At 35.8% G+C, this 16,643-nt stretch overlaps 1 protein-coding gene across 9 annotated transcripts in view; it reads right to left on the bottom strand.

The window, feature by feature from the left end:
- Nucleotides 1-16,643, bottom strand: part of ABCD3 (ATP binding cassette subfamily D member 3) — a 133,533-nt gene that overhangs the window by 26,550 nt on the left and 90,340 nt on the right. For 6 of the 9 annotated variants that reach the window (XM_047426556.1, XM_006710802.3, NM_002858.4 and 3 more), the window contains 10 exons: nt 16,377-16,500; nt 13,799-13,855; nt 11,508-11,650; nt 8,875-8,944; nt 4,503-4,572; nt 4,323-4,420; nt 4,131-4,222; nt 2,298-2,389; nt 2,139-2,211; nt 867-930 (listed from right to left, as the gene is read on the bottom strand). In XM_047426556.1, coding sequence (XP_047282512.1) covers nt 867-930; nt 2,139-2,211; nt 2,298-2,389; nt 4,131-4,222; nt 4,323-4,420; nt 4,503-4,572; nt 8,875-8,944; nt 11,508-11,650; nt 13,799-13,855; nt 16,377-16,500 — 883 coding nt within the window. The other 3 variants (XM_011541877.2, XM_047426559.1, NM_001122674.2) reach the window with 3 other exon arrangements.

The following is a 16,643-nucleotide window of genomic DNA, read 5'->3' as shown; positions in this document are numbered from 1 at the left end:
AATTAAATTTTAAATTCAGTTTTGCAGCTGTACTAGTCACATTTCACATGCTCAATATCTACACATGGTTATTTTACTGGACAGTGAAAGTATAGAGCATTTCCATCATTGCAGAAAGTTCTACGGGAAAGTGTTGTTCTAGAGGAATGGTGTCTAGAATGGGGAACATAGCCTATGTGATAGGAATTTGTTACTAATTATGAAGATTTCTGGATCTGAACCATTCATAAAGCCACAACATAGAGAAAACCTAAATAGTAACCCTTAAATCTGCGAGTCTTACAAATCGTACAAAAACATTCATCTTTTGTCTTTTCTTTTTAATTTGGTCTGCCATATCCCATTTCATTAGCAGAGTATATTGAATCAACATCAGTTTTCACTTGGCATGGGATTTTACTTGTTTTAGGTGAGTGTCTATTTGTAGCGCTACTGTGCGGCTCTTCCCGTTTTCATCAGTAATAAAACAGTCTGTATTTTGTTTTTATAGGTACAAATCATCCTGTACAGTCACAACAATACCAGCCACACCATAAGTTTCTTTTTAATGTAAAGAGACTAAAATTATATTTGTGTGTTTAAATACTCATTTTACACTGGAGACTCCAATTTACTATATTTTCTATGACTTTCTTGACATAAACTTCATTTGCAAAAAGTTTTTTGGTAGTAGTATTTGAAATTTTGAAGTCCTGTCAATTAAGAAAAATAGATTTCTAAGCGTTTCAAAGACTTACTTTTTAAAGCAATTCTGTGGATTCAGAGACTAAGTCGAGCCTTAAAGTTACTTTAAATATTCAGGTAATCTTTTTCAGTTCACATTTTAAAGATGATTTAAGCTTTTATATGATCATTTAAAAACTTACTTCAAAATTAAGGTCTCGGATCAAAACATCTCCATTTGGCGTTGCTAAAGGAACATGATCAAACCTATAGAGGAAATTTTTAAAAAGAGAATTACTTTAAAGTATATAAGGAACTAATACAACTCAATACCAAAAATACAAATAACCTGATTAAAAAATGGGCAAAGAGCTTAAACACTTCTTAAAAGAAGAAATTCAGATGGCCAACAGGCATACGAAAAGGTGCTCAACATCTCAGTCATCAGGAAAATGCAAATCAAAACCACAATGAGACATCACCTCTCACCTGTTAGGATGACTATTATCAAAGAGACAAACGGTAAGTGTTGGCAAAGATGTGGAGAAAGGAAACCTTGTACATTGTTGGTGGGACTACAAATAGTACAGCTATTATGGAAAACAATATGGATGTTCCTCAAAAAATTAAAATTAGGACTACCGTATGATCTAGCAATCCCACTTCTGGGAACATTTCCAAAGGAAATAAAATCAGTATCTCAAAGAGAATCTTCCTCCCATGTTCACTCCAGCATTATTTACAATAGTCCATATATGGAAACTGCCTAAATGTCTTTCAACTGATGAGAGGATAAAGAAAATATAGTGTGTACAGTGTGTATATATTCACATACACACAAAATACACACAATAGAATATTACCCCACTTTTAAAAAAGAAGGAAACTGGGCCATTTTCAACATAGATGGATCTGGAGGACATTATGCTAAGCAAAATAAGCAAGACACAAAAAGAGAAACACTATGTGATCTTACTTGTATGTGGAATCTAAAATAGTCAAACTCATAGAAGTAGAGAGTAGGACGGTGGTTGCCAGGGGGTTAGAGAGAGAGGAAATGGGGGTAATATTGGTCAAATGGCACAACATTTCAGTGATGCCAGAAGAATAAATTCTGTAGATCCACTGTACTGGGACAATAGTAGAAAATACTATATTGTATACCTGAAATTTGCTAAGACACATCTAAATTAAATTCTCACTAAACACACACAAAAATGGTTAACTATGTAGAGGCGATAGGTAAATTAATTAGCCAAAACGTAATCATTTCACAACATACACAGATATCAAAGCATCAAGTTGCATACTTTAAATATTAATATACACAATTTTTAGGTCAATGATACCTCTAAGCTGTTTTTTAAAAAAGCAGAAATAATTTTAAACACTAAGCAATTGTAAGCTGAAAAAGAAAGACTACTATGAAGTTTAACAAACATTTATGGTGCTAAAAGACCTTTTTCTGTACGTACTTTATAATGTTATCTGCAATAATGATTTCTCCAGCACCAGGTATCAAGGGAATGACTTGTACTCCTTCAATACCTTAAATGGAAAATAGGTATTAAAGCATCATATTATGTCAGCAAACACTTAAAATTGTGACCTTAAACTGTGACACTCATATTTACCCTTTTCCTGTTGTGAGACCATTGTGCGCTCATATTTGCCATGATTTAAATCCTTCAGTACTTGCATTAATTCTGTAATCCGAGCAGTAAAACTAAAATTTTAGAAAAGGAAACCATAATCAAAACTCCAGACTATTGTCACATCTTTTATTTTATACAAACTGAAGTTCCTAAAATTATAATTTAGTATAAATGAAGTAACCTAACAGTCTCATCAACATAAAGTATTAATGATAACATGTGTGCTTTATTATGTTTCAGTAGGAGAGCAGGAATATAGGGATGAAGGAAGAGGTTTCCATAGGATCCCCAACTCAACAGATACTTCATTAATAGCCAAGTCAAGGCAGTTATTTGCTGAGAATTTTCAGGAGGTTTCTCTTGGATACTACAAAAGGACCACTACTAGTATATTCCTTAGACCCAGGAAGTATGGACTCTGATCTCTTGCTGAAGTGACCTATAAAGCCATGTATAAAGCTGGTCTTTCTATCCAAGGAAGGCATTTATTAAATGTATGCCGAATGCATGCTGCCTTCCTGCAAACGGAAGAATCTGAAAGATTCCCTCTTTCTTACTCTGAAGAGGGGAAAGATGATGAGTTCTTATTATTAGATAGAAATCACTGTGGCAATAGAGAAAAATCAAAACTAACGACAAGAGGTTGGAGATAACAAAAATGACCATGATCGCCAAAGAGAAAGTATTCTGCATCGAAGAAGAAAACAGGATTTTTCTCTGAATAAAAAGCAGAAACCTCCTAAAGCAAACTTTGGGAGGTGATGAATGTTTATGGTCTTGATGGTTTCACACGTGTATAACTTATTCCCATATTCATCAAATTGTATACACTAAATATGAACAGTTTCTTATATGTCAATCATACCTCAACAAAGTGGAAAAAAGAGAAAGAAAGGGGGGCAGGGAGACGAAGGGAGGGAGTGAAAGAGAAAGACACACACACCCACACAGAAAGAGAGCGAGAGAGAGAGAGAGAGTGAAAGGAAACACCCTAAAGGAACAGAAGCACCTTATATACCATGAACTGTAAAGCCATAAGAAAAGTTAACAAGTAGGAAGAATGTTAGTATTCTCATGAAAGAGACTCTACTCATAGTAGTTAACAACTTCTATATTGCATGAAGACCATAACTGCCACAGGAGCTAAGAAGGAGGAAAAAGAGAAATATGAAGATGGATCACAGGCCTAGGAAAGATATTCAGTCATCAAACTTCTTCAGGTGACCTAAAATTTATGGTGTTTTTTACACCATACCATGCCCTTTATATTGGAGATTGAAATACTGAAATCTTAATATTTAATTTCATTCTACTGTCTAAAGATAATTTTACTACTAGATAATATGACTACATTCACAAGCACGCCTACAGATACAAGATAACATCTCATTTTTTTTCCCATTAAAGTCAACTTCATTTCTATTCATCTGTTTTGCTAGGTTGCCGGTATCTAAGATCCAAGAAAAAAAGGTATGGTAGAGGACAAGAAAATTTAAATGAGAAAATTCTATTCATAAACATAGTTTTCTGTGAATTAAGACTGCCATGATTCAACATTTCCCAACTTAGCAAATACGTGTCCATGGAGCAAACAACTTGACAGCCTCTAATCTACTGTACTGCGCAAACCAGCTGTCCTCAAGAAACATGAAAAGTTCACCATCAGAAAAATCTTCCTTAATTTTCTATCAAAACCACCTTCCTGGGCTAGGAAATGTTGACCCCTTATCTTAATCTCAACTGATACAATCATTAAGGATAATATATTTTTAAAAATTATTTTCTGCAACAGCTCATTATTACTAATCTTACCCGGCCAATCTAGTCATTTCACGCCCAGCCAAAACTATTCGACCCAGAGCTTGAGACATTCGCAAAAGCATTCTTCCACTTTGGTAGTAATCCTTAAATAGAAATAAATATTAGTTTTTACTTATAGTTCTATGACTAAAAATTTGGCTTTATTTTTACTGTTACATTTTCATTGTATTATCATCAGTTTACCTCTAGAAGTTCCGAATGTGTACTCTTGAGATGTCGAGGATGAGACAAATCTAAGAAAGGGCGACTGACAACTAGGTAACCAACAACAGTGGCAAGGTCTGAAACCAAACAGGTAAGATTTAAAACAGTAACAGTATTTCACCTTTTCCACAAATCTCATCTCTTTCAAAATATACTTACATTTGGCAATAATACTATCAATGAAGCCCATTGAAAACCGAAACAAAATGAAATTATGTAGGTGTTCCACCTGGCAGAAAACAAAAACAAAAAACCATCTTTTTCTCTGTATAAAAAACTGAATCTACTATAAGGATAAAACAAACTGTATAGTTCATTTATTCAACAAATATTTACTGAGTGCCCGTGATTTCTGTTTATATTCTGTTTATATTGTACATCACACCACCGAGGACAATGCTCTTCACAGAGCGGGTGCCAAACAAACACTTCATGAAACCATTTTTATGCAAACAGCATGGAAATTACATAAACAATTTTAACAATGCTGTTTCTCTTGCATGCAATAGCACAATGCTATTGTAGTCACCATGCTTTTGGATACACATATCCCAAAAGAGGACAACAACGAAAGCAAAAAGAACAGAGATTAACTAGTTTGAGTGAAACACTAGCTGTCCGGATTGGCACTGAATGCTTTGCTTTCAGTGGAGACACATGGTCTGTGCTTTATCTAAGAATTGTATTACACCCAATCTGAACTGAGTGCTAATGTAAATCAGTGCCACACAGCCTCAGTTTTAGCTTTAACATGAGCACGCATTGTCTTAAAACTACAAGTCTAAAACTGCTTTTTTATTCTGGAGTTGTAGTGTTCTCAAACTGTCCATCTACCAGATTATTCAAGGTCCTGCATGATCTGGCACTGAGCTCTATTTTTAAGGTCATATGCTTCTACTTTGCTCCTCCTCACCAAGCTCCAGAAATAACGGTTTCTCAAACATGTACCTTCTTAAGGATTTCCTCTTGCTCTTCTCACTGCCAGGAATACATTCTTCTAAGGTATCTATATTTTGTGACTCCTTCACTTTCATGTGGATTTCTGACTAAATGTCACCTCCTCAAGAAAGATCTTGGCCATTCCAGCTAAAGTAGCTGGGCAATAGCCCCCTTCATATCTATCCCTTTATCCTGCTTCATTTTTGGCCACCGAATTCATTACTACCTGAAATTATACAGAACATCTAGTTGTTTATTTATTGTCTGCTCCACTAAAATGTGGCTTCCTGAGTACAGGGTAGCTTGTTAACAACTTGGTATCTTCTGCAACTAGACAATCTCTGGAACATTTATTCAATGACTACCATGTGTCAGACACTGTGCTCAAGCTGGAGATACAATGAATAGAACAGAGAAGGTCCCTGAATTTATGGAGTTTACATTCTAATGAAAGAGCATAACTAGTAAACAAGATAATTAGAGACTGTAATACAGTCATCCCTCGGTATCCAAAGGGGATGGGATTGGTTCCAGGACCTTCTGGATACCAAAATCCATGGATGCTCAAGTCCCTGATGAAAAATGGCATAGTATTTGCATATACCTGAGTACGACATCCCATACACTTTATTTACTTTTTGAGACAGAGTCTCACTCTGTCGCCAAGGCTGGAGTGCAGTGGTGCCATCTTGGCTCAATGCAACCTCCGCCTCCTGGGTTCCAGTGATTCTCCTGCCTCAGCCTCCCGAGTAGCTGGGATTATAGGCCCCCGCCACAACAACCGGCTAATTTTTGTATTTTTAGTAGAGATGGGGTTTTGCCATGTTGGTCAGGCTGGTCTCGAACTCCTGACCTCAACTGATCTGCCCGCCTCAGCCTCCCAAAGTGCTGGGATTACAGGGGTGAGCCACCGCAACTGGCTCATCCCAAACACTTTAAGTCATCTCTAAATTACTTATAAAACTTAATACAATGTAAATAGCTATTACACTAATGTCTGTATTGTTCAGAGAATAATGACAAGAAAAAAATATGTGTACATAAGTACAGACACAATTTCTTTTTCTGAATATTTTCAATCTGTGTGGTTGAATCCATGGATTTGGAACCCACAGATGCAGAGGGTTGACTGCAAATATATATATACTTTTAAGGAAAGATGATGATTAAAACAAGAAGTAACTGTTGGAGGCCATTTCAAATAGGCTGATCAGAGAAGACAAAGCTTCAATAAGGTGTTAACATTTGGGCTGAAAATCTAAAGGATGAGAATAAGCAAGCCGTGTGGAGAGCAAACTGGTGAACTGCAGGCCCCTGAAAAATTACCTTAAATGCATTCTACCAGTGAGCACTCTAAAAGTTCTGCCATGTTAAATACCGACGAGGCAAAAATCCAATTTCTGAAATAATTTAAAATGACAATTTCTTTAACCTCTTTAACTCATCTAAAATATACATTTAATTTCACAAACTTCAGACTTCCACTAAAATGTAAGCTCCTTAAAGGCAAGATTTTATCCATCATGTCCACCACCATCATCCTTAGCACCTGGAGTGAGCACAGGCAACTAGACGGCATTCAATATCTTTTGAATAAATAATGGAATAAAAGTACTTGAATTCAAATTTTCCAAGTGGCAATTAAATAAAAACTGAAGTAAAGCTTTCACAAGAAACAATGCTTATATTCTTTAAAACAAAAAGCCAGTAAACTCTGACCCATAGTCCAAATCTAGCCTGCTACTTGTTTTTTTAAGTAAAGTTTTATTAGAACATAGCCACACCCACTCATTCATGTATTATATATAGCTACTCTTGAGTAGCGGAGCTGAATAGTTGCAAGACACTGTGTGGTATGAAAAGCCTAAAATATATACATACTATCTTGCCCTTTATGGAAAAAGTTTGCTGACTCTTGCTTTACATAATAATCTTTATTGTATTTTCATGAATGCTTCAGGAACAAATTCTTTCTGTGGGAATCACTAAATAAGGCTCCTAAGCAACCTCTGTAAAAATACACTTAATTTTTTTTTTATGTTTTTGATTATACTTTAAGTTCTAGGGTACATGTGCACAACGTGCAGGTTTGTTACATATGCATGCATTTGCCATGTTGGTGTGCTGCACTCATTAAGTCGTCATTTACATTAGGTATATCTCCTAATGCTATCCCTCCCCCAGGCCCCCACCCCACAACAGGCCCCGGTGTGTGGTGTTCCCCACCCTGGGTCCAGGTGTTCTCATTGTTCAATTCCCACCTATGAGTGAGAACATGCAGTGTTTGGTTTTCCGTCCTTGCAACAGTTTGCTCAGAATGATGGTTGCCAGCTGCATCCATGTCCCCACAAAGGACATGAACTCATAATTTTTATGGCTGCATAGTATTCCATGGTGTATATGTGCCACATTTTCTTTGTCCAGTCTATCACTGATGGACATTCGGGTTGGTTCCAAGTCTTTGCTATTGTGAATAGTGCCACAATAAACGTATGTGTGCATGTGTCTTTATAGCAGCATGATTATAATCCTTTGGGTATATACCCAGTAATGGGATGGTTGGGTCAAATGGTGTTTCTAGTTCTAGATCCCTGAGGAATTGCCACACTGTCTTCCACAATGGTTGAACTAGTTTACAGTCCCACCAACAGTGTAAAAGTGTTCCTATTTCTCCACATCCTCTCCAGCACGTTGTTTCCTGACTTTTCAATGATCGCCATTCTAACTGGTGTGAGATAGTGTCTCACTGTGGTTTTGATTTGCATTTCTCTGATGGCCAGCGATGATGAGCATTTTTTCACGTGTCTGTTGGCTGCATAAATGTCTTCTTTTCAGAAGTGTCTGTTCATATCCTTTGCCCACTTTTTGATGGGGTTGTTTTTTTCTTGTAAATTTGTTTAAGTTCTTTGTAGATTCTGGATATTAGCCCTTTGTCAGATGGGTAGATTGCAAAAAATTTCTCCCATTCTGTAGGTTGCCTGTTCACTCTGATGGTAGTTTCTTTTGCTGTGCAGAAGCTCTTTAGTTTAATTAGATCCCATTTGTCAATTTTGGCTTTTGTTGCCATTGCTTTTGGTGTTTTAGACATGAAGTCCTTGCCCATGCCTATGTCCTGAATGGTATTGCCTAGGTTTTCTTCTAGGGTTTTTATGGTTTTAGGTCTGACATTTAAGTCTTTAATCCATCTTGAATTAATTTTTATATAAGGTGTAAGGAAGGGATCCAGTTTCAGCTTTCTACATATGGCTAGCCAGTTTTCCCAGCACCATTTATTAAACAGGGAATCCTTTCCTCATTTCTTGTTTTTGTCAGGTTTGTCAAAGATCAGATGGTACACTTAATATTATTTTAATAAATCTATGCAATTTTATAAATGGGCACTTGAATATATTGATATGATAGTTTTTAATCTCATATTTTTTATTAAAAATGCAGTATAAAATCCTTTATAGCTATTTTTCAAAAAATCTTTAAGATATGTATACATACGTGTGTGTTTGTGTGTGTGTGTATGTGTGTCGGCCATAGGCAAAACAAACAAACAAAAAAAACCCTTTCCATAAACACATGAACCTCAAGTGTGTTATCTTACCAGTTTTCGGAAGACTGAGTGGACTGTCTGCTTTTCTCTTTTATTCCCATTGTAAAAGGCAATTTCTTCACTATTAAAGAAAATAATTTAGCAATTAATTTTAATGTTACCTATGCTTGGAAAATAATTGAAATACAGTATATGATGGCTGAATGTTTGTATTTAAATGGACATTTTGTGACTAAGAGCTTATCTGGTGCATCTCAAGCCACAGTCTATACCTGAGATTCTGTTCCTAGCTCAGCTGATCGGAGCACAGGAATACACTCCTGACTGAATCATATGCTGGACTGCAACCTATGGCATAGGTATCCTGGCTGCAAAAGACATACTGCACGAATTCTCAGAAATTCGAAATTAGAGAAAGAAGTTGCTGTGATGTACAGAAAGGCAGGGCTGGGACCAACATTGCAGACTTCAAGTTAAAGTACAGGCCCAAACAAGAAAGAGATGAAAAAGCAACAGCTAGAAAAAGATGGATAGTGATGACTTGACATACAGCCTTTTAAAGACAGAAAAGCAGGCTAAGTCCCACCGGCTTCAAAGTGCCAGCTCCCAGGAGGAAACCCTGGAACCCCATCATATCCTCACAACAATTCCACGTTTCCTGAGCAGATGTGCATGGGTCCACAAGGGCCACAGGGATCACGACTAGAAAAAAAAGGTATTTTATAGATGAAGAGAAGTTCAGTGTAGTTAAGTAAATTTGTAAAGGTTGCAGAGCCAGCAGGTCAGGGAGCTGAAATCATAACTCCTATCTGACCCTAACATTTATAGTCTTTCTATTACACAGGAATGATGTAAGCTTTCCCAGCAAAGTACCTCTTATGGCAGAGAAAAATATTTATAGAGAAGTCTAGAAGGCAAGGTTGAAATATTTCTTTAAAGTCTCTTTTTTCCCCTAAACAATTTATGTTTTATATTTCTATTTTGAAATGGACCTGCGTTTTTCATAAAAACAAGGTACCACCTACCTCAACCACTTCAAGTAAAATTAACTTCCCATAAGATATGACACATTTGTCACGCGTTTCATGGTTTCCTTGACACAATGACAGAGACTCAAGAGTATAAGAAGCCTACAATTCTATACCTCTAATTACTTTTTAAAAAAACTTCCTTCTATCTCCTCTCCACACCTAAGCCTATGGAAGAAGATGAGGTGAGGATTCTCCTCCTGAACTGAGTCATTTTAGCCTTAATGAAAAATCTGAAAGGATAAAACATCCTGGAATATTGATGGCTGCCCATCCAACATCTATTCTCTTCATTGTTCTTCTTCCTAAAATAATCCCAACTTTTGTAAAGTTATCTATTATTTTCCATGTACCCTAATGCTTTAGGAATGCCTCAACCCCATTTAGGGTCCCAACTGGTCTAAGCCAATCACTTTGCTGTGATTGCTTTAGGCATGGTCAAGTAACCATTCCAGCCAATAAGATATGAGGGAAAGTCAGTTGTGGGACTCTTGGGAAAGGTTTCTTTGCTCTCATAAAGACACACCAGGCGAGATGGCCCCTTTTTGTTTCTGGAGCTTTCTGCAGGGGAGAGGAGCTAGTGAAATCTGTAACTGCTATCGCCATCTTGTGGTCACAAGAAGAATTAGCCCGAGGAATGGGGCAGCATACAAAGCAGGGCAGAGCCAAGAGAACACCAGAGAGCCAGAGCCCTGATAATGCCATACCTGGAACTGCCCTGTCTTAAGGGTTCTCACGTGAAGCAGTGAGTGTTCTTATTACTGGAGCCATGAGTCATGCTTTCTGCTTCTTTCACTAAAAGGCATCTTTCATTTACTTGGCAAATCACCTCTTAACTCTATTCCGCTGCCTCCCTAGAGCAAAAAACCCTATTTAAAACTTGTACTATTTTAGCAATCCAAGGAAATAAAGGAAGAGGGAACTGTCATTTGCAAATGCCTATAGAGTAGAATATTAAATACATATTAGAACCCTCAAAATGACTTAACATTAACAGATCAATATATGAGAACATTTATTGAGCAGTTGCTCCATATAAAAAACTGAGCTGGAAGCTTTATATGTATTATCAAATTTAATCCTCATTGCAACCCTATATTATCTACCTATTATAAACAAAAGTGAAACTATGAATAATTCGCTAAAATCAAATACATGCAACTGATAAGTGGAAGAGGTAGATTTTGAAGCTAGTATGGCTGGCTCCAAAGTCCACACTTTTTCTTCCTATCTTACATTTAAAAAACTCTAGAAAATAGGTAGAGGCACATGCAGTGACAGTGAATCATTGAGCATTATGAACAGTCAAAATAAAAATATTTGTGGAAAAATTGAGACAAAATTGTCTTGGAACAGGTATTGTAAGTTGAAATTTGAATTGTAAACTGATTATGTCTGAAGTAAAATTAACAGAAAATTCATCAACAGAAGGTATGAACAGGTGAATCAGGAATACTACATGGTTAGTAAGAAAAAGAGTTCAAAATATTCATGATTACTACTTTATAAAACTAGTCTCTTTCATAATGTATATTTTCAACACAATATGCACATTATTACAGTAACAGTGTCACTAGACTTTTTGGAGTCAATTTAAATGACATCAATATCCATAGAAATTAATTTTTAGCAAGGCTTTAATGCATTTGTCTTTACCTGTTTGTGATGAGCCGAGAATTAACATATCTATATTCTCCTTCATACTTTTGCTCAGTTATTGTCATCTTACCAATGGGTCTTCGAAGTCGAGTTAGGAATAGCCCAGAAACAACCAAGTAGGCCATCATGCTCGCTGGGCCCTATTATTATTGGGAGAGAAAGATACACAAAGTTCTGGGATATAATAATAAATTCACTTAGATACAAACATGTACAATTTTTATAATTAACCTCAATGACTGAAAGAAATTGCCCTACTGGGTAATTTTTTCCCTTTGTTTTTTTTCTGAAAAAGTACACAGTAGCCTCTACACTTTTACTACTCATGGGCTTTTCCTCTTACCACTGTAGCTTATCCCTCAGCTCTCCTACATTTTGCTCACCTAAAAACTCCTAATTGCAGTTCACAGTTTTTCTATGTTATCTAACACTCTCCTGTTGGAACTCTTCTTGATAATCTCTTAAGATTCCACAATAATTCTTAGACCTCTTTTTCTTGCCTTCTTTTTTAATGTTAATATTCCCTCAAACTCCTTCCTTAGTTCTCTTCTCATCTCAAATCTATACCTCTAGTCCTATCACTCTTATGAACCCAAGAAATAAGTACTACACATCTTTACCTTAATACTGTGCAGATGCCTCAAGTTCAGCTCCCCCTGAACGAGCTCTGTCTTTCCCTGCGTGTACATCTTGCTTCCAGCTGCTGTACTATGTATTAATAACTTTGTACGTGACCTCATCACCCATTGACCATCCCAAGAGAAAAAGAAAGGTATGCTTGAAGCATACCTTTCCAAGTTCATCATAGGCACTTCCCTCATTCCCCTATATACCCTATACTCTGCCATACTAAAATATATAAATGTTTCCTGAACAGTTTCCATTCAGTGAGGTTGTTCTTATGTTTGGCAAGCCTGACATAATCTAATGGATGTTTACTTACCTCCCCAAAGTAGCTCAGATATCACCTCCAGTTCTTCTTGGCACTAAATACTTTCTTGAAACTTCTATTACTAAACTTTATCATGCTGCATCATAATTGTTTGACTATCTACCTGTTTTACCACATTGTAATTCCTCTTCAGCAGGAATTGTGTCTTACTTATCTTTTTATTCCTACTATCTAGCACAATATATGTGCTAGTAAGTATTCAAGATTAAAAAAAAAAAAGTAAATCTGATCAATTCAATGCATATCAACAACTACTACAAATGTGGACCAAAAAGATAACTAAAACAGTTTCTGCCTTTAAGAAATGCAGAATCAGATAACAAGTAGACATGGAGACATATTTAAGTATCACAAAAATGTAGTTAAGTACCATAAAAATATGACTGCAAGGAGACAAGAAGGATTTGGCCTATTCACTTGGTTATAGTAAAACAAAATACAAGAATGATAAAACCTGGATCACAAGACAGCAAAGAATTAGGAAAATAAACAGAAAAATTCGAAAAACAAAACAAAGCAAAACCAAAACCCTGCTTTTCCAGTGTTTTGGAAAGCAACAAAAACCAGTATGGAAATAATTTATTAATCAACTGAAATGCATATACACACATACACATATGTAAAACAACCATACTATTATATGGCTGTGTTATAAATATGTAACAATAACATTACATATTAAATGACTAAAGTTACATTTCAATAAGATAACTCAAAGAAAACTTAAAAGTGATTCTTGCCATCACAAATATCAGAGACTTGGATAATAAGGCTCATGGGATAGCCAACCATTTACATTATAAAATATTCTTGGAACTGTTACACCCACTCTAAATGTATCGTTATTTTAACATTAGAATTTCATATTAAAATGGATGTCTCCATATCTCTTTTTAGACATTACTTTGAAACAATAAGTACAAGTATATTCATGGTTTAAGAACTTCTGTTTTATTATTATTTTTTAAAGAAGCGGGTCTCGCTTTTTGTCCAGGCTTGTCTCGAACTCCTGGATTCAAGCGATCCTCCCATCTCAGCCTCCCAAAGTGCTGGGATTACAGGCATGAGCCACCACGCCTGGCCAATACATTTGTCTGGTTTTTAATGCCACAAAATTTTTCCAAGTACCTAATTTAAGGAAAATTAAAAAGAAAAATTAGTACTTCTAAAATCTCGAATGAAGTATTATTTTATAACCAGACTTTGTTAGGTAAATCATGTGAAAATACATTCTTTGAGATCTACAAAAATTCTTACAGGCCATCAAGCTATTCACAATATGTATTTCAAATATTATATTATATCAATTTAAAAGTTGAAATAAAAGCAGACTCACCTGAGCTCCAATTGCACTCGTTAACTTAAAGATATACAAAACTATGTCTAAAAATGGCTGTAAAATAAATATTAGAATACACAGAATTAAAACTAAAGCACTAGAATGATAGCTAATACAACATGTTAACTATAAAATGTCATTAAACATTTAATATATAATTATCAACATGTAGAGGTCCCACTATGTACAATGTACTGTGATAGTAAGTAGATCAAAGAATACATGAAAGATAACAGTTTTCCTCTCAAGAAACTTAAAATGGGAACAGCTTACACAATGTCTACTGACCATCAAGTAGGAAAAACATTTATCACTTTCCATCAACTAAGATACCTCTACTGTGATAATTAACCACTAGTAACTCAGTAATGTGTCAATATAATGTAAAGACACTGAATAAAATGACCTGAGATGTAACCCCAAATCTGCTACCAGTTTGTTTCTACATATCTTCACCTGTAAAGTGAGGAGCTTTTCCTGCTCCAATATTGTTTGACTCTATTACTTTATCACTTCCATGGCAAAATAATCAAGTAAGCCATTGAATCTAATTTTGTGATATAAAACTCAAGTCTCTAGAACCAAAATAACACATTAATGTACTGCTCTTTACACACAGAGACAACTCAACTAATGCACCATCAGCTGCATTAGTTTGAAATGTTTTTCAAGAAACACAAATTGTGTTCATTCACTTTAAGTCAACAGCCACTGCTTGCACCTCCACTTTTTTTTTTGAGACAGGGTCTGGCTCTGTCACCCAGGCTGGAGATCTTGGCTCACTGCAGCCTCTGGAGTAGCTGGGAGTACAGGCGCACATTACCATGCCTGGGTAATTTTTGTATTTTTTGTAGATGGGGTTTCACCATGTTGCCCAGGATAGTCTTGAACTCCTGGGCTCAAGCGATCTGCCCACCTTGGCCTCCCAAAGTATTGTGATTGCAGGGATGAGCCACTATGCCCGGCCAACAGCCAGCACTTTCTAATCCACATTATTACTAGGATAGATGGCTTGGTTTGTTAACTGGCTTGTTTCAACATCTACCTTTCCCTTTCCTTTTTTTTTTTTTTTTTTTTTTTTTTTTGCCTTATAAGTTATCAAGAAGCTAGAGATACTTATAAAATTCAAGAACTGTTAAAACTTATGACAAAAATAATGACTCATAATTTAAGTTGGAGGTCAATTAGATGTTTAAAACATCTAACTTACACACTGGTGTACAGCCCCACTACAAGTACTTAATTTAATATTCTTCTGTATTCCAGATTTGACAAAACCTGAGACTTGCTCAAGTGCCAAGATTTAAAGAATACATAATAATGTCTATAAAATTACATGGAAAGTTGTATAGATACACCCCCCATTCCCACCATGCATGCATGCATACACACACACATACACACACAGAGACAGAGAGAGAGAGAAAGAGAGAGAACAAACTTTCAAATGTGGTAATGGGAACAGAAAAGAAAGCTTAATTACTGAACTATTTGTAGTTGTCAGAGTTCCCGAGTTTGGGATCAGTTAGCAAAGGCTTCTGGAGAGCTAAATAAATAACAAAGTTGGGCTGGAAGTGAAAAGCATTGGGCCTGGGCATGAGGAGAGCAGCTCTTGTGGATATATATCTCTAAGAATTGCCTTCCCTCCATCCATCTGGTTGAAGCAAGAACATTCCTATTCTTACAATGTGACCCAGTCCTTTTTATAGTTTTGGTTTTCTTTTGTCTCAAAACTGTATATCTAGGTCAACTGTGACCAGAGGCAAAGATACTATCATTGGTCCAGTATGAGACAAGCTCCTAGCCAACACCAAGGGAAGTCACATGAGTTAGAGTGGGAACTGAAGCATCTCAGATGAAGAGGGGAGGGGATGCTGGGCAGACTATTTTATAGGTGCCTACTACATATCATAGTCAATGCAAGAGGTAATGGCAAAGAAGAGGGTTTAATAAGAAGACTACAGCAAAAGCTGTAAGGGTGGTGAGATAACATGACTAAGATAAGAACTGGAGAAATCAGTGAGAAGAAGGAAAACTGACTAAGGCCTATCACAGTCAGGAGCTTTGGCAATATTCTGAGGAGAATGGGAAAAACAGTAATTAGAAAACTGAAATATACTTGCATCTTGTGAAATTTTTTGACTACTACTTACTAATGATCTATTAGAATTAAAGATACTGAAGCAGAGAAATGGGCAGAAAGGAAGTCCTAGTCTAGTGTTATAAGTGTGGAGTTAGAAACATAAATTGACAGTCAATCTCTAACAATGGCCGGATGCACACAGGTCAAAAGATGAGAATTCAAATTTCTGTTGTTTTAATGGAATCAACCTGCAAAATTCTTAGAAAATCCTTATAAGACACTAAATTATCAGTTCTTTGCCAAAGTACCTCACAAAAATAATAGAAAAAATTAAAATAATTAAAACTATTACAACAACTCTAATTTTCTTATAAAAGCATTAAATATTTACATGCTGCTGTTATGTCCACAAAATCAATTCTATATAAATTTGCTTAGATTCAAAATTCAAAAAATTAAACAAATAATCTTTTAAAAAGGAGAGAAACTTACCTTACTAAGATTTGAATACAGATCGACTACACTGTTACAAAATTTTTCTACATCTTGTGTAAGCAGCTGGTCTGGATTAGCTATTCTGTTGTCCAGATTCCCCATTTTATAATATGTGAAAGCTCTAAAATAGCAAGAAGAAAAGTGATTTTAAAACAAGTGACTTTAAAGATAAAACAACAACAAAAAAATCATATTACACCACCTAGCTCAAATACATAGAAACAAAAAAGTTTGGAGCCAGAAGAGATCCTATTGATTGCCCTA

The sequence above is a fragment of the Homo sapiens genome, chromosome 1 (assembly GCF_000001405.40).
Source record: "Homo sapiens chromosome 1, GRCh38.p14 Primary Assembly".
Lineage (NCBI taxonomy): Eukaryota > Metazoa > Chordata > Mammalia > Primates > Hominidae > Homo > Homo sapiens.
The sequence above is the reverse complement of the archived record's forward strand: the minus strand, read 5'-3'. Positions and strand labels throughout refer to the sequence as shown.